Raw genomic sequence first — 22,546 nt, forward strand, 5'->3', positions numbered from 1 at the left:
CAAGTGTTGGAGTTGAACTCCTGATATTTCCCCCTTTAAGCTGAAGTCCATGACCTGCTTCCCAATTCCTGGCAGCCACACAGTTGCTCTGCTATTTTTCAGTCTTCTAACTTCAACATAGTTACTTTTTACTCTTTTTCATCCTCTACCTTCTTTAAATCACGTCTCTTTTTCCTTTCTTGTTTTTATCCTTTCTCCTCTACTTTCTGTCTTACTTTTTTTCTTCTGTTTTTCTGCCTTTTGCTTCCTTATCCTCTTCTTTGAAATCCATATCTTATTTACTAAATTTTTTTTGACACTTTGAGAGGCAGAGGCAGGAGGATTGCTTGAGGCCAGGAGTTCAAGACCAGCTTGGGCAACAGAGCAAGACCCTGTTTCTATAAGAAATGAAAAATAAGCTGGGTGCTGTGGTATGTGCCTATAGTCCCAGCCACTCTGGAGCCTGAGCTGGGAGGATCGCTTGAGCCCAGGAGTTCAAGGTTCCACTGAACTGTAACCATGCTACTGCATTCAAGCCTGGGTGACAGAAAAAGACTCTGCCTCAAAAAATAAAAATAAACCCAGAAAAATATTTCTTTTATTGCCTACTATATGCAGGGTACTGGGCTATTCCATATAGATAAAATAGTCAGCAAAACATATGTAGCCCCTGCCGTCTTGGAACTTATATTTTAGTAGAGAGACATTATTCAAATAATAATATAAATAATATTTATGGAAGAGTATTAAGGGTTATAAAAGAAAAGTACATGATGCAACAAGAGCATAAAATCATTGATAAGTCTTGTTGATTCTTGCTGAGAAGAGGATTTTGATTAGCTGCTTTCTTTCCCGCTGCCACCTCTCTAATCCCTATGCTGTTAATTTCATAGATGGTGTTTTAATAGCCCTAGAGCTAATTTATCTGCCTTTTGTTCTCCTCTGCCAGTTCATTCTCTAAACACTGCCAGATTAATCTAATGTACTGCTTTCTTTGGGCCAGTCCCCTGCTTAAAAGATCACCCACTATCTCCTGTTACTTAAAATGTCAAATGATCAAACCCAGCCTTCCAGCCTGACATCCAGTGGTCCCGTCTTTCCAATTTGGCCTTGTCTCTGTCTTTCCTTCAGTGAGTAACACAGAGACCATCCCAGGCAATCTTGATATTATCACAATATTTTACCCAACTTGATATCTGTGCTCCTTATGTTTATAATCATTACCCCACTATCTTGGATTTGCTTATGTCACTTCACAGTTATTCCCTGGTTGTGCATTACTTTAAGATCTAGTAATCTTTCTCTATTGATTACTAACTATGTAACCTTCAAGAAAACATTTTGAAAGTCTCACTGTTATTATCTGATCAGGAAGTTGAACTTGAAAATTCAATTGCATGTAATACTTATTAGGGACCAAAAGCCAATCGTTCTACTTGTGTGTGAGAGCCTGTTATTTCCCATTTACTCAAGAACATCATGAACAATCCTCCCCTACCTCTCATATACCATCATTGTTTTCTCTCTCCCCTAAATGATTCCTGCCAGCATACAAATGAAATAAGTGTTAAAACCCTTTCTTAAGCCCTCTTCCCCTAAAAATTACTATCTGATTTCTCAGTTCTTCTTTACAAAAATAAAAATAAAAAATAAAAAAAAACTTGGAAGAGTTCTCTGTATTTGCTGTCACCTATTTTTCCCTGTTCTTTCCTAAATCCAGTCATATCTGTACTCTCACTACCATACCAAAACTGCCTCTATCACGGTTGTCAGTGACTCCATGTTATTTAATCCAATAGTCAACCTTCAGGCCTAATCTAGCAGCAGTTGACAGTCTCTTTAATAATCTTTCTTCACTTAGCTTGAAGAATTACCATTTCACTTCACTGATTTTTCTTTTTGTTACCTTCACTTATTCCTCCTCTAGGATGTCTAAACTGAAATTTTTATTCTTTAAAAAAAGGTACTCTTCTTGGTGTTTTATTCAGCCTTGTGGATAAATTCCATTTATATGTCCACGACTCCCAAATTTGTATCTCCAACCCAAACCTTTTTTCTGAGCTTGTGTAGCCAACAGTCTACTCCCTATCTCTACTTGGCTAAGAGACATCTTAATTTTACCATATAGCAAACTGAACCCGGATCTCCCCCCTCCCACAAAAACCTAATCCCATGCAGTTCTTCCCCTCCCTTGTCAGTTAACGGCATCTCCATCCTTTTAGACCTGGGAGTCTTTATTAATTCCTCTTTCTCTCATGCGTTATGTTCAATTCACTAGAAAGCCTAGTTAGCCCCATCTTCAAAATGTTTCCAAAGTCTGACCAATTTTTACCTCTTTCACTGTTACCATCCTGGTCCAAGCCACACTTTATTTCTCACTTTGATTGCTACAATAGCCTCCTGACTATTCTCCTTTGCTCTCTTAAACCTTTCTCAGCATTATCAGTAAGTGTGAAGTTAGACCACATTACTCTTTTCAGATCCCTGTAGCAGTTTCTCATTTTACTCAAAGTCAGAGCACTTACTGTAGCTTTGAGGCCTTTCACAGTTGTCCTCCCTTCCTTGTTATGGTTCTAATGTCCTCCCCAATTTACTACTTTCTCTGTGGCTCTCCTTACTTCAGGCTCAGTCACAGTAGTCGGCTGTTACAGGAACAAAGGCGCTATGTACATTTTCACGCCTATATCCCCACCTGAGCAAACGCTTACCTCACTCAAACTTTGCTCCAGTGGCAGAACACCACAGCCTGTTCAGGCAACTCCACATGTTGCTGAATGCTGCAGCATTTCCTGTTCTTCTTTCCTTTTTTCTTAATAATCATCAGTTATTTATATACCGAACAATTTATTTCTCATATTTATTATTATTTCCTGCCTCCAGCTTCTGAAGGTCAGTGACCTGTTTTTGTTCTCTTTTTATATTTCAAGTTTCTAGAGCAGTGGCTGGCATGTAGTAGATGCTCATTAAATGAATTAATAAATTACTGGATCTCTTTCAGCTCTAAACTCATCCTTCCAAAGTTCTCAAGGATCAAAGCTATTACCTTTTAGTTTCTACTGCAATCCAATATTTGCAGAGAAGGAACAAGAAATAGATACTTATTAAAGATTTCATATGAATTATTTATCTTCTTGCCTAATATATATGGTGGTGGTTTTTGGATTGGCTGGCGGGAGCTCTTGTTTCTCCTACTTTGATTCCATAATCTACTAGTTTCATTAAACTCATCTCATTCCCATTCAACTCAACCCATGTTCTTGTTTTTTGGAATAGACAAAGGATCTCTCAGCAATAGCTAGTATCCTGAATGCTTATTGTGTGTCATAGTTCTGAGTTTTTAAAAAATATTAACTCATGAAGTCCTGACACCTCTCACCTCCCAACCAGTGGCTCCCACATTGTCCCTCCTATGTAGAAATTTTGGAGACATTTTGTCTATGTAAACCCTAAACGTGGCCTGTAATCTCAGGATTTCATCTTTAGGCAAAAGTCTGACTCTGATTTAGGAGTGCCCATTTTTCCTTTTTGCCTAGGAATGTAATTTTAAACTCTTTGAAGCACTTAGAATTATATATTCTAAATCAGATGTAATTCTATTTTCTTCTAATAGAATATATAAACTAAAATGGGGAGAAAGCATGTCTACTTTTTACAACCTTCTCTGTTTTTCTGCTTCTGGAATATCATGCATTTTTCTTGCCTTTAGCCATTACAAATTTTAAATTAACTGGAAAATGACATTTAAAAATGGATATTGGATATAGTTTAAGTAAGTTTTAAGCACTCTACTTATGTGCTTTAGAAACAAGCAAGCAGATTGGTAAGACCTAATGCAATTTAAAACACCGAGAAATTAGGTAATATCACTCTGGCTTCTTTTTCTTCTCTTTTATATACTTCCTCTAGTGTTCAAAAATATGGGTACTTATAATCAGCCTATTCAGATACTAAAGTACTACAGTCGTTAAGGTAGAAATGGGGCTTTCCTAACCTAATATTGTTTGGAGATTATCCTATCAAGTTACTGAACTTTCAGTATATTGTCTAAGAACACATGCTCTCTTTCATTGCTTGTGGGGATTGAGTCATGCGAGGCCTTTTCATATGCGTTTTCAATCTGTCCACTTCAATCAGGGAGACTGTTGGACCTCTGTCTTTAAAGACCATGCTATGTTGCAAACTCTCCCTCAGTTTTTATAACTGAAGTCCAGGTTTTAGTTGTGCAGTTTGAATATGAACATAAACCTTCCAGCATGCTATATTTATGCAAAGTAAGAAATATTATATACCGGAATAACCACTACTGGATTATTTTGAACATAGAAATTAAATAAGCTAATGAGATCATTTTGCTTTAATATATTAAAATGTTATTTAAATATATTGATTTCAAACTGCTTTAACAAATCACCAAGAAATCCCTGGAATTAAAAAATGAGTCAAAGAAAAAATATATACTATTGGCATTTAATATAGAATATTAATAGTTGCTAGCACTTGTAAAGAAGAAGATAACTTTACATTGTAAAAGTAACTTATTGCCGTTTACTGTTTTTTTTAAAATCAGGGACTAGTGTTTGAATTAAGTTATTCTAAATTGACATCTAATAGTATTCAAATTTGTTTGATGCCCCATAGTTTTTAAGTAACTTTGATACCTACTAGTTCTTAAGTAACTGTGATACCTACTAGTTCAGTTAGTCATCATTAGATGAAGTAAAAAAAAATAGAATAAATTACTTTCAATAACTTTATGAGACATTGTTTTGTAAGCTGTATTCACTTGTGGAAGTACTTTATGCTATAATGATTAATTCATTTTAAAATAAAATTCAAAACTAGACATACACCCTGTAACATTTTTTCGGGAGATTTATATTCGATACTGAAACCTTATTCATAACAGGCTGCATTGTATGCCCTTGGGGAAACTAACATTTGTTAAAATACAGAATAATATGGCACAGCAGTACGAGCCTGTAATCCCAGCTACTCAGGAGGCTGAGACAGGAGAATTGCTTGAACCTGGGAGGCAGAGGTTGCAGTGAGCCCAGTGTTTGTGATTGTTTCATTAATCATAGAGTATGCACCAAAATGTTCAAGAGTTTAACATCTGCTTCCTGAAGTTACTAATACTCATACTGTCCAATGAATTCCAATACTCACCAATAACCTCTTAGTTCTGTAGCTCAGGTAACCTAAGATTTACTTTGCGTGAGTACTGCGTTAGCCAATAATATTTATACAATTTTCTTTTTTGCAGGGAGGGGGATAGTTACCAAGAAACCATCCAAGACAATTTTTGCTCATAATGTTTTTCTTTTTGTGCTCCCACAGAAAAAGTGAAGTCATACTTAGTATACTGACAATGTAGTACTATCTAATGGAGTTAACTCCTGTACTATACAGATTAGCTGTTGCTTAGATTTGAAATGTTTCTAACCATATTATGTTATTTTTGGCTTCTGATAATGTGTCTGCAAACTGATGAAGAAAGAGAGTTAATGAAAAAACACTGGCAACTGAACAGAGTTGCAGAGAGCAAGGAAAAACAGGGAATGAAGAATATATTTAAGTCTTGTTTTGTATAAACAAGATACTATTGTTAAAATATTTAGTGAACCTACAGATAGACCATTATTTACTGAGCTGAAACAAGATGATGATTGTCTTAAATTGTGAGGAAAGTAAACCAGTTAAGTATTTTTTATTAAGAAACTTTGATTTCCTATGCAATTATAATATTAAATATTCTTTTTTTTCACTCTGTGCTAACAGTAAATAGATGAGGTCCGATTCACTTCATGTCTTCAGAAGTTTTCCTTTAAACCACACTAATCAAATTAGCATTGACTTGAAGTATTTTTCAATATAAAGTACATGGCAGGCAATACTTTGGCCCATCTAATTCCCTTTGATATTTGTGAATTTTCAAATTAAACACAGCTACTTTACCAATGTTTTAAAATATATCTTATTTTATTTTTTTTTTGGAGATGAAGTCCCACTCTGTTGCCCAGGCTAGAGTGCAATGGCACAATCTGGGCTCACTGCAACCTCTGCCTCCCAGGTTCAAGCTATTCTCCTGCCTCAGCCTGCCTCAGTGCGCCACTACGCCTGGGTAAGTTTTGTATTTTTAGCAGAGACGGGGTTTCACTGTGTTGCCCAGTCTGGTCTTGAACTCTTGAGCTCAGGTGATCTGTCTGCCTTAGCCTCCCAAAGTGCTGGTGTTACAGGCGTGAGCCACCACGCCTGGCCCGTTTTAAAATATATCATTGCCGATGTTGTTTCCATGATTAGTATAGGAAAGGAATTTAGCATACATGTATTGTATGCATTATAAAATTATGGAAGTCTTTGGAAGAGCTTCTGTTTTTTGAAAAATAATACTGTATTATTTTAATAACGTTCCTTTTAATTGTAGAAAGCAGATTACATTAATCAATACAGTGGAATATGTTAGATTAACATGGCTAGAAATATAATTTAAAAATAAGATGTTTCTGCACATTTAAGAGAAGTTTTCTAACAAAAATGGTGTTTCATGTACTGTGTCGTAAAAACAGAATTTGGTTAGTGATAAAATTTTAAATTGTAGCATTTTTGTGAAATTTGTTTCAATTTGCCTAGAATAATTTTGTTTCAAAACAAATTTTGAAATTGTTTAATGGTTATATTCAAATAGGTCTCCATTACACGAGAGAACCAAGAAGTATCTAATTTGATTTGGTCACAATCTGTCACTCTAACAGAAAATTGACTAATGGTTCTTTTTTATTGTTGTTATGAGTGCCATAATTTTAATGTGTCTTTAAATGAAATTTAGCATGGGAGCAGAAATTACTCCCATGCTAAATTATTATCCAATTTAGTATGTTATACAAAGAATGAAAAATTTGTCACCTTTTTAAAAAATGAGCTTATTGCCCACTGGATATTTTGTTTCTTTTTTAAAAAAATAATTTCAGCTTTTATTTTACATTCAGGGGGTACATGTGCAGGTTTTTAACATGGGTATATTGTGTGATGCTGAGGTTTGGAGTACAGTTGATCCCTTCACTTAGGTAGTGAGCATAGTACCCAATAGTTTTTCAACACTTTTCCCGCTTCTTCTCTCCCCCCATTAGTCCCCAGTGTTTATCACTGCTGTCTTCATGTTCTTGAGTGCCCAGTGTTTAGCTCCTGCTTATAAGCCAGAACATACAGTATTTGATTTTCTGTTCCTGTGTTAATTTGCTAAAGATTATGGCCTCCGGCTGCATCCATGTTGCTGCAAAGAACATGATTTCATTCTTTGTTATGACTGTATAGTATTCCATGGTGTATATGTACCATATTTTCTTTATCCATTCCACCATTGATGGGCACCTAGATTGATTCTATGTCTTTGCTATTATGAATAGTGATGCGATGAACATATGAGTATGTGTGTTTTTTTGGTAGAATGATTTATTTTCTTTTGGATATATACCTGGCAATGGGATTGCTGGGTTTAATGGTATTTTTATTTTAAGTTCTTTGAGAAATGTCGAACTGCTTTCCACAGTGACTGAACTAATTTATAGCTCCATCAGAGTAAGAACCTTGTATGCCTTTTATGTTATTTTACCCTGTTAGCTTACCATAGTGCTGATCATGTAGCAACATAGCAAAGTATATGTAATGACGATCTGCGAACATAACATTTTAAATTTTTTCTTGGCAAGTATATTTAGATGGCATAGGATGAATAAGGAGTTTTCAGTGTCTGAACAACTGTAATTTTAGTTTTAAGTTAGCTCCCTTTGTGTCACTTTCATTATTTTAGAATTCAACTATATTATTGGTTATGGTAGGTTAGGTAGGTTAGGGAATGCTGCAGTAATAAATCAACCGTGACATTTCAGTGGTTTAAATCAACAAACGTTCATTTGTCTAACATGGTATATTCTCCAGTGCAAGTTGGCGAGGAGCTCTACTCCAAAGAGTCACTCAGGAATCCAGCCTCTTGTGATACCCTATTTCAACACATGGTTTCCAGGGAAAAAAGAATGCAAGAATTCATACCCACACCTATGTGTTTTAGTTTGTAAATGACACAGATTACCTGTGCATACAGAACTGTATCCCCAAGTGAAATGCAAGAGAAATAAAGCCTTCTTATAAATCTATGATGAAAAAAAATCAGTTTGGACTTGGTGAGCCCTGTATTGTCTTGGCCAGAACTTTACTATTTTTGGATTCTTCCTTTTCAAAGTAAGGTTTATGGAATATTTATTTTATCAGATAGGTTCAACATACATACATACATACAAACACAGCTTCTCACAGAAGATTTGCTAAACTCAATACATTTGACATTATTTCTCAAATTTATTGGGCTAAAGATTCTGATTTTCGGAGACCATATGTCAGAGCTAGCATTCTATGAAGCAGTTTTAGGAAACACTGTTCTTGATCATGTTGATTGAATAAATGTCAGAATGTGTCATAAACAGAAGAAACTAATTTTTAATGCAGTCTTTAGCCTATAGTAAATTCACAAATATATCATCTTTTATTGTGCTTGTCAGTAAAATTTTAAATTAAAAAATAAAATATTGTTTAGTTTATCATGAATATAAATTTCTGAATATCTCAGATAACAAATCTGGCCAAGAACCTGGAATTAAGTGGGCAAAGAAATACCTACAGTTGGTGTAAGTGATTCTTAACAAATTTGCATGAAGATCATGCACTCAAACAAACTTACTTTATTTCATTCAGTTCCAACTTGGCCTTAATTGGCACAGAACATTAACAATCTTAATTTTCAGCCTATAGTAGATTGTAGATACCAAATTAGAAGGGGTTACAAGTCTTCTTTCCTTCTAAAAATTTGCATACTGTCAGAGGTATGAAACAGCATATAGCTCAACACAGGAAAAACCCAGGATGACATTTTTAAAAAAGCAAGCGTATAACTAACAATATTGTTTAATAGAAGAAAATATTCCTATTTCTTAACTACTCAAGTTATCTGAACAAAGTTTAATTACCATTAGCATACTCACTTTTAAAATGTGAGGCAAATGTATAAAACATTCGAAATGATTACCGACTCTAGTACTGAAAGTTAAAAAAGAAAATAAATATATGTCTTATGTATAATATATAATATATAATTTATCTTATATATAAATGTATATACTTTGTATTACATATAAAATATATAATACATGAATATTATATATATCATTTATAATATATAAGAATATATACCAATTCTTATATATAATATATACCTTATATGTTAGATATATTTTATATCTAATATATGTTTATATAATTAGATATGATATATAATATATAATTATATATTGTATATATAAATGTATGTACAATATGTCATATATAATTATATATTGTATATATGAAATATATTCATTTATATATAGTATATAATATATAATATATTATACATATATTGTATATACACTTATATATAATATATATACACATTTTTATATATATATTTTATTCCTAAAAACTGGAACCTTCAGAAACATGGGATTTTCAGAGTATATCATTTTTTCCATCAATGTTAAATTGCAACACAATGTCATAATGTGGTCTTGAATTTGTAAAATAAAATGTGTCATATATATTTTTTTCTTATTTTCTTTCCTAGTAAGATGATGGAATAATTAGGAAGTTGGTGTCTATTCTTGTAAGGAGCTGTTTTAAAGAGTATACATACATATATTTTAATGTAATTTAATTTCTTATATCATTTAAATATAATTCTGCGATTTAAAACATTGTATATATTTTTGTCAATAAAAATACATATGATTCCATGGGAGAAGGAATAGATAAGGTTTTTCTTTCCTGAACTTTTGGAAAGTAATCTTTACTCTGATTTAAATAGTGTAGCTGATTATCTGATTTTAGTGTAATTATTTCACATACACAATTTTGTTCGCATTTTAAATGAGCAGTTAAGCACTCCTAATTTACAATTATAATGAAATATTAATTAACTTGCTAAACATTTATATTTTATGTCTTAGTCCATTTAGAAGAGTGGATTTAAAAGTATTTCCCTATGTTTTATATAATAATTGAGCTTTTGTAAATAATTGTGAAATGCTTTTCTTTAAAATGTTTTGCATGATTCCAGAAAAATTATTAGGATAAATATTGATCATCCTGTTTCAGACATTTTATTAATGAAATATTATAAAAAGACCATATAAGTAATTAGGTATACTTTTCCGCACGTTTCTTAGACGCATTTTGGTTAATGGCAAATGCCAACATTAAGCAGACATTGACGTGATTATCTACATGTTTACAACATATGCTGTTTGTTCTTGCAATGTATTTGCTGAAGTTCTCTTAAATGGAAGCAATGACGTATTGTGCACAGAATAGAGTAAAACACAGTGAACTGTTCATAATGAGTTACTAGTGGGACTTGCAGATGTTGGTGTAAATTATGCCTAGATTTAGTTATTTTTTTTTTATTATTATACTTTAAGTTTTAGGGTACATGTGCACAACGTGCAGGTTAGTTACATATGTATACCTGTGCCATGCTGGTGTGCTGCACCCATCAACCCGTCATCTAACATTAGATATATCTCCCAGTGCTATCCCTCCTGCCTCCCCCGACCCCACAACAGTCCCCAGAGTGTGATGTTCCCCTTCCTGTGTCCATGTGTTCTCATTGTTCAATTCCCACCTATGAGTGAGAACATGCGACATTTGGTTTTTTGTCCTTGTGATAGTTTGCTGAGAATGATGGTTTCCAGCTTCATCCATGTCCCTACAAAGGACATGAACTCATCATTTCTTATGGCTGCATAGTATTCCATGGTGTATATGTGCCACATTTTCTTAATCCAGTCTATCATTGTTGGACATTTGGGTTGGTTCCAAGTCTTTGCTATTGTGAATAATGCCACAATAAACATACATGTGCATGTGTCTTTATAGCAGCATGATTTATAATCCTTTGGGTATATACCCAGTAAAGGGATTGCTGGGTCAAATGGTAGTTCTAGTTCTAGATCCCTGAAGAATCGCCACACTGACTTCCACAGTGGTTGAACTAGTTTACAGTTCCAACAGCAGTGTAAAAGCGTTCCTGTTTCTCCACATCCTCTCCAGCACCTGTTGTTTCCTGACTTTTTAATGATTGCCATTCTAACTGGTGTCAGATGGTATCTCACTGTGGTTTTGATTTGCATTTCTCTGATGGCCAGTGATGATGAGCATTTTTTCATGGGTCTGTTGGCTGCATAAATGTCTTCTTTTGAGAAGTGTCTGTTCATGTCCTTCGCCCACTTTTTGATGGGGTTGTTTTTTTCCTGTAAATTTGTTTGAGTTCATTGTAGATGCTGGATATTAGCCCTTTGTCAGATGAGTAGATTGCAAAAATGTTCTCCCATTCTGTAGGTTGCCTGTTCACTCTGATGGTAGTTTCTTTTGCTGTGCAGAAGCTCTTTAGTTTAATTAGATCCCATTTGCCATTTTTGTCTTTTGTTGCCATTGCTTTTGGTGTTTTAGACATGAAGTCCTTGCCCATGTCTCTGTCCTGAATGGTATTGCCTAGGTTTTCTTCTAGGGTTTTTATGGTTTTAGGTCTAACATGTAAGTCTTTAATCCATCTCGAATTAATTTTTGTGTAAGGTGTAAGGAAGGGATCCAGTTTCAGCTTTCTACATATGGCTAGCCAGTTTTCCCAGCACCATTTATTAAATAGGGAATCCTTTCCCCATTTCCTGTTTTTGTCAGGTTTGTCAAAGATCAGATAGTTGTAGATATGTGGCATTATTTCTGAGGGCTCTGTTCTGTTCCATTGGTCTATATCTCTGTTTTGGTACCAGTACCATGCTGTTTTGGTTACTGTAGCCTTGTAGTATAGTTTGAAGTCAGGTAGCGTGATGCCTCTAGCTTTGTTCTTTTGGCTTAGGATTGACTTGGCAATGCGTGCTCTTTTCTCGTTCCATATGAACTTTAAAGTAGTTTTTTCCAATTCTGTGAAGAAAGTCACTGGTAGCTTGATAGGGATGGCATTGAATCTATAAATTACCTTGGGCAGTATGGCCATTTTGACGATATTGATTCTTCCTACCCATGAGCATGGAATGTTCTTCCATTTGTTTGCATCCTGTTTTATTTCATTGAGCAGTGGTTTGTAGTTCTCCTTGAAGAGGTCCTTCACATCCCTTGTAAGTTGGATTCCTAGGTATTTTATTCTCTTTGAAGCAATTGTGAATGGGCGTTCACTCATGGTTTGGCTCTCTGTTTGTCTGTTATTGGTGTATAAGAATGCTTGTGATTTTTGCACATTGATTTTCTATCCTGAGACTTTGCTGAAGTTGCTTATCAGCTTAAGGAGATTTTGGGCTGAGACGATGGGGTTTTCTAGATATACAATCATGTCATCTGCAAACAGGGACAATTTGACTTCCTCTTTTCCTAATTGAATACCCTCTATTTCCTTCTCCTGCCTCATTGCACTGGTCAGAACTTCCAACACTATGTTGAATAGGAGTGGTGAGAGAGGGCATCCCTGTCTTGTGCCAGTTTTCAAAGGGAATGCTTCCAGTTTTTGCCCATTTAGTATGATATTGGCTGTGGGTTTGTCATAGATAGCTCTTATTATTTTGAGATACGTCCCAACAGTACCGAATTTATTGAGAGTTGTTAGCATGAAGCGTTGTTGAATTTTGTCAAAGGCCTTTTCTGCATCTATTGATATAATCATGCGGTTTTTGTCTTTGTTTCTGTTTATATGCTGGATTACGTTTATTGATTTGTGTATGTTGAACCAGCCTTGCATCCCAGGGATGAAGCCCACTTGATCATGGTGGATAAGCTTTTTCATGTGCTACTGTATTTGGTTTGCCAGTATTTTATTGAGGATTTTTGCATCGATGTTTATCAGGGATATTGGTCTAAAATTCTCTTTTTTTGTTATGTCTCTGCCCGGCTTTGGTATCAGGATGATGCTGGCCTCATAAAATGAGTTAGGGAGGTTTCCCTCTTTTTCTGTTGATTGGAATAGTTTCAGAAGGAATGGTACCAGCTCCTCCTTGTACCTCTGGTAGAATTCGGCTGTGAATCCATCTGGTCTTAGACTTTTTTTGGTTGGTAAGCTATTAATTATTATCTCAATTTCAGAGCTTGCTATTGGTCTCTTCAGAGATTCAACTTCTTCCTGGCTTAGTCTTGGGAGGGTGTATGTGTCGAGGAATTTATCTATTTCCTCTAGATTTTCTAGTTTATTTGTGTAGAGGTGTTTATAGTATTCTCTGACGGTAGTTTGTATTTCTGTGCGATTGGTGGTGATATCCCATTTATCATTTTTTATTGTGTCTATTTGATTCTTCTCTCTTTTCTTCTTTATTAGCCTTGCTAGCGGTCTATCAATTTTGTTGATCGTTTCAAAAAACCAGCTCCTGGATTCATTGATTTTTTGAAGGGTTTTTTGTGTCTCTATTTCCTTCAGTTCTGCTCTGATTTTAGTTATTTCTTGCCTTCTGCTAGCTTTTGAATGTGTTTGCTCTTGCTTCTCTAGTTCTTTTAATTGTGATGTTAGGGTGTCATTTTTAGATCTTTCCTGCTTTCTCTTGTGTGCATTTAGTGCTATAAATTTCCCTCTACACACTGCTTTGAATGTGTCTCCCAGAGATTCTGGTGTGTTGTGTCTTTGTTCTCGTTGGTTTCAAAGAACATCTTTATTTCTGCCTTCATTTCATTATGTACCCAGTAGTCATTCAGGAGCAGGTTGTTCAGTTTTGATGTAGTTGAGTGGTTTTGAAGTGAGTTTCTTAATCCTGAGTTCTAGTTTGATTGCACTGTGGTCTGAGAGACAGTTTGTTCTAATTTCTGTTCTTTTACATTTGCTGAGGAGAGCTTTACTTCCAAGTATGTGGTCAATTTTGGAATACGTGTGGTGTGGTGCTGAAAAGAATGTATATTCTGTTGATTTGGGGTGGAGAGGTCTGTAGATGTCTATTAGGTCCACTTGGTGCAGAGCTGAGTTTATTTCCTGGATATCCTTGTTAACTTTCTGTCTTGTTGATCTGTCTAATGTTGACAGTGGGGTGTTAAAGTCTCCCATTATTATTGTGTGGGAGTCTAAGTCTCTTTGTAGGTCTCTAAGGACTTGCCTTACGAATCTGGGTGCTCCTGTATTGGGTGCATATATATTTAGGATAGTTAGCTCTTCTTGTTGAATTGATCCCTTTACCATTATGTAATGGCCTTCTTTGTCTCTTTTGATCTTTGTTGGTTTAAAGTCTGTTTTATCAGAGACTAGGATTGCAGCCCCTGCCTTTTTTTGTTTTCCATTTGCTTGGTAGACCTTCCTCCATCCCTTTATTTTGAGCCTATGTGTGTCTCTGCACGTGAGATGGGTTTCCTGAATACAGCACACTGATGGGTCTTGACTCTTTATCCAGTTTGCCATTCTGTGTCTTTTAATTGCAGCATTTAGCCCATTTACATTTAAGGTTAATATTGTTATGTGTGGATTTGATCCTGTCATTATGATGTTAGCTGGTTAGTTTGCTCGTTAGTTGATGCAGTTTCTTCCTAGCCTCGATGGTCTTTACAATTTGGCATGTTTTTGCAGTGGCTGGTACCGGTTGTTCCTTTCCATGTTTAGTGCTTCTTCAGGAGCTCTTTTAGGGCAGGCCTGGTGGTGACAAAATCTCTCAGCATTTGCTTGTCTGTAAAGTATTTTATTTCTCCTTCATTTATGAAACTTAGTTTGGCTGGATATGAAATTCTGGGTTGAAAATTCTTTTCTTTAAGAATGTTGAATATTGGCCCCCACTCTCTTCTGGCTTGTAGAGTTTCTGCCGAGAGATCAGCTGTTAGTCTGATGGGCTTCCCTTTGTGGGTAACCCGACCTTTCTCTCTGGCTGCCCTTAACCTTTTTTCCTTCATTTCAACTTTGGTGAGTCTGACAATTATGTGTCTTGGAGTTGCTGTTCTCGAGGAGTATCTTTGTGGCGTTCTCTGTATTGCCTGAATCTGAACGTTGGCCTGCCTTGCTAGATTGGGGAAGTTCTCCTGGATAATATCCTGCAGAGTGTTTTCCATCTTGGTTCCATTCTCCCCGTCACTTTCATGTACCGCAATCGGATGTAGATTTGGTCGTTTCAGATAGTCCCATATTTCTTGGAGGCTTTGTTCGTTTCTTTTTATTCTTTTTTCTCTAAAGTTCTCTTCTCGCTTCATTTCATTCTTTTCGTCTTCCATCGCTGATACCCTTTCTTCCAGTTGATCGAATCAGCTACTGAGGCTTGTGTATTCGTCACGTGGTTCTCGTGCCGTGGTTTTCAGCTCCATCAGGTCCTTTAAGGACTTCTCTGCATTGGTTATTCTAGTTAGCCATTCGTCTAATCTTTTTTCAAGGTATTTAACTTCTTTGTCATGGGTTTGAACTTCCTCCTTTAGCTCGGAGTAGTTTGATTGTCTGAAGCCTTCTTCTCTCAACCTGTCAAAGTCATTCTCTGTGCAGCTTTGTTCCGTTGCTGGTGAGGAACTGCGTTCCTTTGGAGGAGGAGAGGCACTCTGATTTTTAGAATTTTCAGTTTTTCTGCTCTGTTTTTTTCCCCATCTTTGTGCTTTTACCTACCTTTGGTCTTAGATGATGGTAACATACAGATGGGGTTTTGGTGTGGATGTCCTTTCTGTTTGTTAGTTTTCCTTCTAACAGTCAGGACCCTCAGCTGCAGGTCTGTTGGAGTTTGCTGGAGGTCCACTCCAGACCCTGTTTGCCTGGATATCAGCAGCGGAGGCTGCACAACAGCGGATATTGGTGAACAGCAAATGTTGCTGCCTGATCATTCCTCTGGAAGTTTTGTCTCAGAGGAGTACCCGGCCGTGTGAGGTATCAGTCTGCCCCTACTGGGGGGTGCCTCCCAGTTAGGCTACTCGGGGTCAGGGACGCACTTGAGGAGGCAGTCTGTCCGTTCTCAGATCTCCAGCTATGTTCTGGGAGAACCACTACTCTCTTCAAATCTGTCAGACAGGGACATTTCTAGATTTAGTTTTTAATGTTTCCCTGGTGTTACACTGAATATAGCATGAGAAGTCACTGGAAAAGAATGGAAAATAACTCGGCCTTGAGATTAATTTTCTGGGAAATCTGTAAGCCTGATATTGAAAGTGCATTATAAATACTATTTATAATATTTCTTAATCATTTTCCCTTCTTGTACATTCTATATTAACTTAGGTACAAGATCTAAAGGCATATACCCTTTCCTTTCCTTTCCTTTCCTTTCCTTTCCTTTCCTTTCCTTTCCTTTCCTTTCCTTTCCTTTCTTCCTTCCTTCCTTCCTTCTTTTCTCTCTGTCTTTCTGTCTCTCTTTTTCTCTCTTTCTCTCTTTTTCTCTTCCTTACATGATGGAGTCTTGCCCTGTGGCCCAAGCTGGAGTGCAGTGGTGTAATCTTGGCTCACTGCAACCTCTGCCTCTCAGGTTCAAGCGATTCTCCTGCCTCATACTCCTGAGTAGCTGGGATTACAGCCACCCGCCACCACACCCATCTAATTTTTGTATTTTTATTAGAGACAGGGTTTCACCATGTTAGCCAGGGTGGTCTTGAACTGCTGACCTCAGGCAGTCTGCCCGCCTTGGCCTCCCAAAGTGCTGAGATTACAGGCGTGATCCACTGTGCCCAGCTGACATACACTTTTTCTTCGTTTTATTGATTTCATTTTTTAAAACTATCTCCTATTTTAAGGAAATTATGTCACTTCCCAAATCATACAACTTTGATAACAAAATTCATGAGGAGTGTTTGGTTGAATCAATGCATTTAGAATGACACAATTACCAATATAAATATTATTACAAAATGTAAATAGGGTTTGTACATTATAGTGTTCAATCTCTTTGTTCACCTTTACTGTTTTTTATTTGTTTGTTTTCTTTTTTTTTTTTTTGAGACAGCACCTTGTTCTGTCACCTAGGCTGGAGTGCAGTAGAATAAGGATCCACCGCAGCCTCAGCCTCCTAGGCTCAAGTGATCCACCAACCTCAGCCTTCTAAGTAGCTGAGACTGCAGGCATGCATCCCCATGCCCGCTAATTTGAGTGTGTGTGTGTGTGTGTGTGTGTGTGTGTGTGTGTGTGTGTGTGGAGAGACACAAGGTCTCCTTATTTTTTCTAGGCTGGTCTCTAATTCCTGAGTTCAAGTGATTGTCTCACCTTAGCCTTCCAAAATGCTGGTATTACAAGCCATCTTTACATTTAATTCATATGTGGAAAACACATAGTGTTCAGTTTTCCAAGGATAATTTTTGTAACTATTACTGGTTTTTGCTTATTTGTTTGGTTTTTAGTTTAAAAGCCATATTGATTGTGTTATAGACCACTCTTTTAATTTATTTTTATTTCTATATGTTTTACTTTTTAAAATTTCAGTAGTTTTGGGAGTACAGGAGGTTTTTGTTACATGGATGAGTTGTTTCATAGTGAATTCTGAGATTTTAGTGCACCCATCACCTGAGCAGTGTACACCGTACCCAATGTAGTCTTTTATCCCTGCCCCTTGACATCGCCCATGAGTCCCCACAGTCCGTTATATCACTCTATATGTTTTGGGGTCCTCATAGCTTAGATCCCAGTTATAAGTGAGGACATATGGTATTTGGTTTTCCATTCCTGTGTTAGTTCACTTAGAATAATGGCCTCCAGTTCCATCCAAGTTGCTACAAAAGACATTATTTCATTCCTTTTTATGGCTTAGTAGTAGTCCATGGTGTTTATATACCACATTTTCTTAATCCACTTGTTGGCCGATGGACACTTAGTTTGGTTCCACATCCTCGGAATTGTTAATTGTGCTGCTATAAATGTGTGTGCAAGTGTCTTTTTCATATAATGACTTCTTTTCTTTTGGATAGATACAGAGCAGCAGAGTTGCTGGGTTGAATGGTAGATCTACTTTCAGTTTTTTAAGGAATGTCTATATTATTTTCCATAGTGTTAGCACTAATTTACATTCCCACCAGCAGTGTAAAATGGTTCTCTTTTCACCACATCTACACCAACATCAACTGTTTTTTTACTTTTTAATTATGGCCATTCTTGCAGAAATAAGGTGGTATATCATTGTGGTTTTATTTTGCATTTCCCTGATGATTAGTGATGTTGAACATTTTTTCATATGGTTGTTGGCTATTTGTAATCTTTTTTTGAGAAATGTGATTGTGTTATAGACTACAGCATCGCTTTTACACTTTTTTCTTCTCATTTGACCAGTCTTTAATAAGTTGATACTGTTTATTTTTTTAATTTAAGCTTTTTATTTTGAGATCATTGTAGATTCTCATGCAGTTATAAGAAATGATGCAGAGAGATCCCATTTCTCTTTACCCAATTTCCTCCAGTGGTAACATCTTGAAAAACTACAGAATAAGATCATGATCAGAATATTGACATTGATATAGGCAAGTTACAGAACAGCACCATTGCCACAAGGATCTCTCCTATTGCCCTTTTACAGCTATACCCACTTCTCTACTGTTGACATAGACTTCCTAGCCCCGGACAATCACTAATCTGTTTTCCATTTCTATAATTTATCTTTTCAAGATTGCTATATAAGCAGAATAAAATTATATGTAATCTTTTGTGGTTAGGCTTTTTTCACTGAACATAATACTCTGGAGATTCATGCAGGTTATGATGTGTATCTATGGTTTATTCTTTTTTTTGCTAACCCATTTTCCATGGTATAGATGTACCATAGTTTGTTTAAACATTCACCGGCTGAAGGACATTTGGGTTGTTTCTGGTTTTGCACTATTATTAACAAAGCCACTATAAACATTTATGTAAATTTGTTGTGTGAATATAAATTTTTATTTCTCTACAATAAATGTCCAAGCATACAATTACTGGATCAAATGCCAGTTACATGTTTAGTTTTATAAGAGACTGTCAAATAGTTTTCCAGAGTGACTATATTATTTTCAGTCCTACCGTCAATGTATAAGTTATCTGGTTTCACTGCTTCCTCACCAGCATTTGATATCGTCACTACTTTTTTCTAGTTATTCTGAGTGTAGTGCTACCTCATTGTGGTTTTAACTTGCATATCCCTGATGGCAATAATGTTTTAGCATCTTTTCATTTGCTTATATGCTGTACACATAGCGTCTCTGGGTCTGTTCATGTCTTTTATTTTTTTGTAGTGATGGGGTCTTGCTATGTTGCCCAGGCTGGTCTCAAACTCCTGGCCTTAATTGATCTTCTTGCCTTGTCTGTTATGTCTTCTGTCCATTTTAAAATTTGGTTTTTCTTTTTGCTATTGAATTTTGAGGGTTATTTATATATCTGATATTAGTTCTTTGTCAGATATAGGGTTTGATAATATGTTCTCTCACACTGTATCTTGTCTTTTCTCCCTCTTCACGAGGTCTTTCTTAGAGCAAAAGTTTTAAATTTAATGAAGTTCAGTTTATCAATTTGCAAATTTTATGAATCAGGCTATTGGTGTTAAGTATAAGAACCTAGCCCTAAATTCTGAAGGTCTTCCTCTATCTTTTCCCTTATATTTTACATTTAATTCTGTAATCTATTTTGAGTTAATTTTTGTATACAGTGTGAGGCATAGGTTGAGGTGTGTCGTTTTGCTTAAGGATGTCCATTTGCTCAGCACCATTTAGTGAAAAAACTAGCTTTCTTCCATTGAGTTGCTTTTGGTCCTTTATAAAAAAATCAGTTCTCCACCTTTTTGTTGTACTATTTATGGATCTGTATTCTGTTCCATTGTTCTGTGTGTCTGTCCTTCTGCTGTTACCACATAGTGTTGATTACTGTAGCCACGTAAGTCTTGAAACTGTATAGATTGATTCTTCCCACTATATTCTTTTTCAAAATGGCTTTCGCTATTATAATTTATGTTTTTTTTTCATTTCAGAATAAAACTTTAGGCTAATTGTGTCAATATCTACTATACTGCTGGAGTTAGAGAAATTGTATACTTTCGAGCATAATTAAAAACTTTACAATGTTAAATCTTCTTATCCATGAACATGATTGTCTATTTATTTGATCATGTTAGATTTATTTCATTGTCATTTTGTAGTTTTAAATGTACAAGTCATGTGTATGTTTTGTTAGATTTCTACCTATTTTTTTGAGTGATTGTAAATACATTAGTCTCTTGGTATCCATGGAGCATTGGTTCCACATCCCCTGAGAATACCAAAATTTGTTGATGCTGAAGTTTCATATATAAAATGGTATGGTATTTGCATATAACCTACACACAGCCTCCATCTGTAGATTACTTATAATACTTAGTACAATGCCTACAATATCACTTCATTCATGTGGATTCAAAATAGTGCTCAGCACATGGAAAATTCAAGTTTAGGTTTTTGGACTTTGTGGAATTTCTTTCCATAAATATTTTCCATTCACAGTTGGATGAATCCACAGATACAGAAGACTGACTGTAGTATGTTATTTTTAATTTTGGTATCTATCTGCTCATTGCTAGTGTAGAGAGATATATATGATTACCTTGTATTCTGTGACTTTTCTATTATTTAGGATATTTTATGTAGACAATCGTACCCTTTGCAAATACAGTTTTACTGCTTCCTTTCTAATTTGTATGGCTTTTATATCCTTTTCTTGCATTATTCCCTTGAATAGAATATGTTCAATAAGAGTGGTGAGATTGAATATCCTTTTCTTTGCCCAATTTTGGGGGGAATGTGTTTATTCTTTCACTGTTTAAATTAAATTAAAATTAAATTATTAGCTGTAGTTTTTTTTTGTAGATGCTCTGTGTCAACTTAAAGAAGTTTCTCAGTATTTTTACTTTTCTGAAAATTTTTATCCTGAATGGATATGGAATTTTCACAAATATTTTCACCAATTGATACGATTATGTGATTTTTCTTCTTTAGCTTTTTAATATGGTTGATTAAAAAAGTATTACATCCCTTGATTAAATGCTACTTGATCATGCTGTATAATTAATTTTGTATATAGCTCAATTCTATTTGGTAAAAACAATTGATAAGGATTTTTGTATCTGTAGATATGGTGTGGACATTCCCACGTCTTCTATTTTCTAGAAAATATTGTATAAAATTTGTAGTAATTCTTCTATGAATGTTTAGTAGAATTCCCCAGTGAAACCCTCTGGAACTGCAGATTTTCTTACTTAGGGATTTAAAAATTATTAATTCAATTTCCATAATGGTTATAGAGTTATTCAAATTATTTATTTCATATTGGATATGGTGAGGTAGTTTATGTTTTTCAAGGAACTGATGTATTAAATGTAAGTTGCCAAATTTATGTTTGTAGAGTTGTTTTTAGTATTCCCTTCTCATTGTTTAGATATCTTCAAGACTTGTAGTGATATTCCCAGTTTCATTCATAGTATTGGTAATTTGTATCTTCTCTCTTGTTTTCTTTGTCGATCTTTTTCGAGATTTGTAAATTTATTTTTTTTTGAAGAAAAAGGGCTCTATATTTGATTTATTTTGATTTTGTCTATATTGTTTTTGATTTTATTGGTTTTTGCTCCTATATTTATTGCTAACTTCCTTCTGCTTGCTTTGGTTTATTTTTCTCTTCCTAGGCTCTTGAAGTAGATGCTTAGATTATTGATTTTAGATTTTTTTCTCTTAACTAATTTAAGTGTGCAGTGCTACACATTTCCCACTCAGCACTGCTTTAGCTGTTCTCCACATATAGTGACTTGTTGTATTTTCACTTTTACACAGTTCAGTGTATTTTTTAATTTTCCTTGAGATTTATTCTTTTACCTGTGAATTATTTGAAAGGGTGTTGTATAGTTTCCACCAGTTTAGAGATTTTAATGTTCTCTTTTTGTTATTAATTTCTAATTTGATTCTATTGAAGTAAGAGAACAGACTCTGTTATGATTTCAATTCTAATAAAGTAGCTGAGGCTTGTTTCACGGCTCAGAATATGGTCTATTTTTGTATATGTTTCACGGACACTTAAGAAGAATGTGCATTCTGCTCTTTCAAGGAGTGTTGCACAGATATTGATTAGATTCTATTGGCTCATGGTACTGTTTACTTCTTCTGTATCCTTGCTGTATGTTTCTAGTTACCCCGTCAGTTTTGAGGAAGGAATGTTGAACTGTTCAACTATAATTGTGTTTTTTTTTTCTCGTTTTCCTTTTAGTTCTATCAGTTTTTGCTTCCCCTGTTTTGATGAACTGATTTTTTTTTTTTTTTTTTTTTTTGGAGATGGAGTCTCACGCTATCACCTGAGCTGGAGTGCAATGGCGTGATCTTGGTTCACTGCAACCTCCGTCTCCTGGTTCACACGATTCTCCTGCCTCAGCCTCCCAAGTAGCTGGGATTACAGGTGCACACCACCACACCCAGCTAATTTTTTGTATTTTTAGTACAGACGGGGTTTCACTATGTTGGCCAGACTGGTCTCGAACTCCTGACCCTGTGATCTGCCCACCTCAGCTTCCCAAAGTCCTGGGATTACAGGCGTGAGCCACAGCTCCCGGCTGAATTGATTCTTTTATTACATAATATTTGTCTCTCCTCAGAAATGAACATC

The 22,546-nt window shown here is 35.4% G+C and overlaps 1 protein-coding gene across 5 annotated transcripts in view; it reads left to right on the plus strand.

Annotated features, from left to right (window-relative positions):
• Positions 1–22,546, plus strand: part of PRR16 (proline rich 16) — a 330,317-nt gene that overhangs the window by 10,916 nt on the left and 296,855 nt on the right. The window contains exon 2 of one of the 5 annotated variants that reach the window (NM_016644.3): positions 5,976–6,100. The exons of the other annotated variants lie outside the window; for them this stretch is intronic. Within the exon in view, the coding sequence (NP_057728.1) occupies positions 6,011–6,100 (90 nt within the window). The 5' untranslated portion in view covers positions 5,976–6,010. The remainder of the gene's footprint in view (positions 1–5,975; positions 6,101–22,546) is intronic. 5 annotated transcript variants of the gene reach the window in all.

This window comes from Homo sapiens, chromosome 5, assembly GCF_000001405.40.
Source record: "Homo sapiens chromosome 5, GRCh38.p14 Primary Assembly".
NCBI classification, from domain to species: Eukaryota; Metazoa; Chordata; class Mammalia; order Primates; family Hominidae; genus Homo; species Homo sapiens.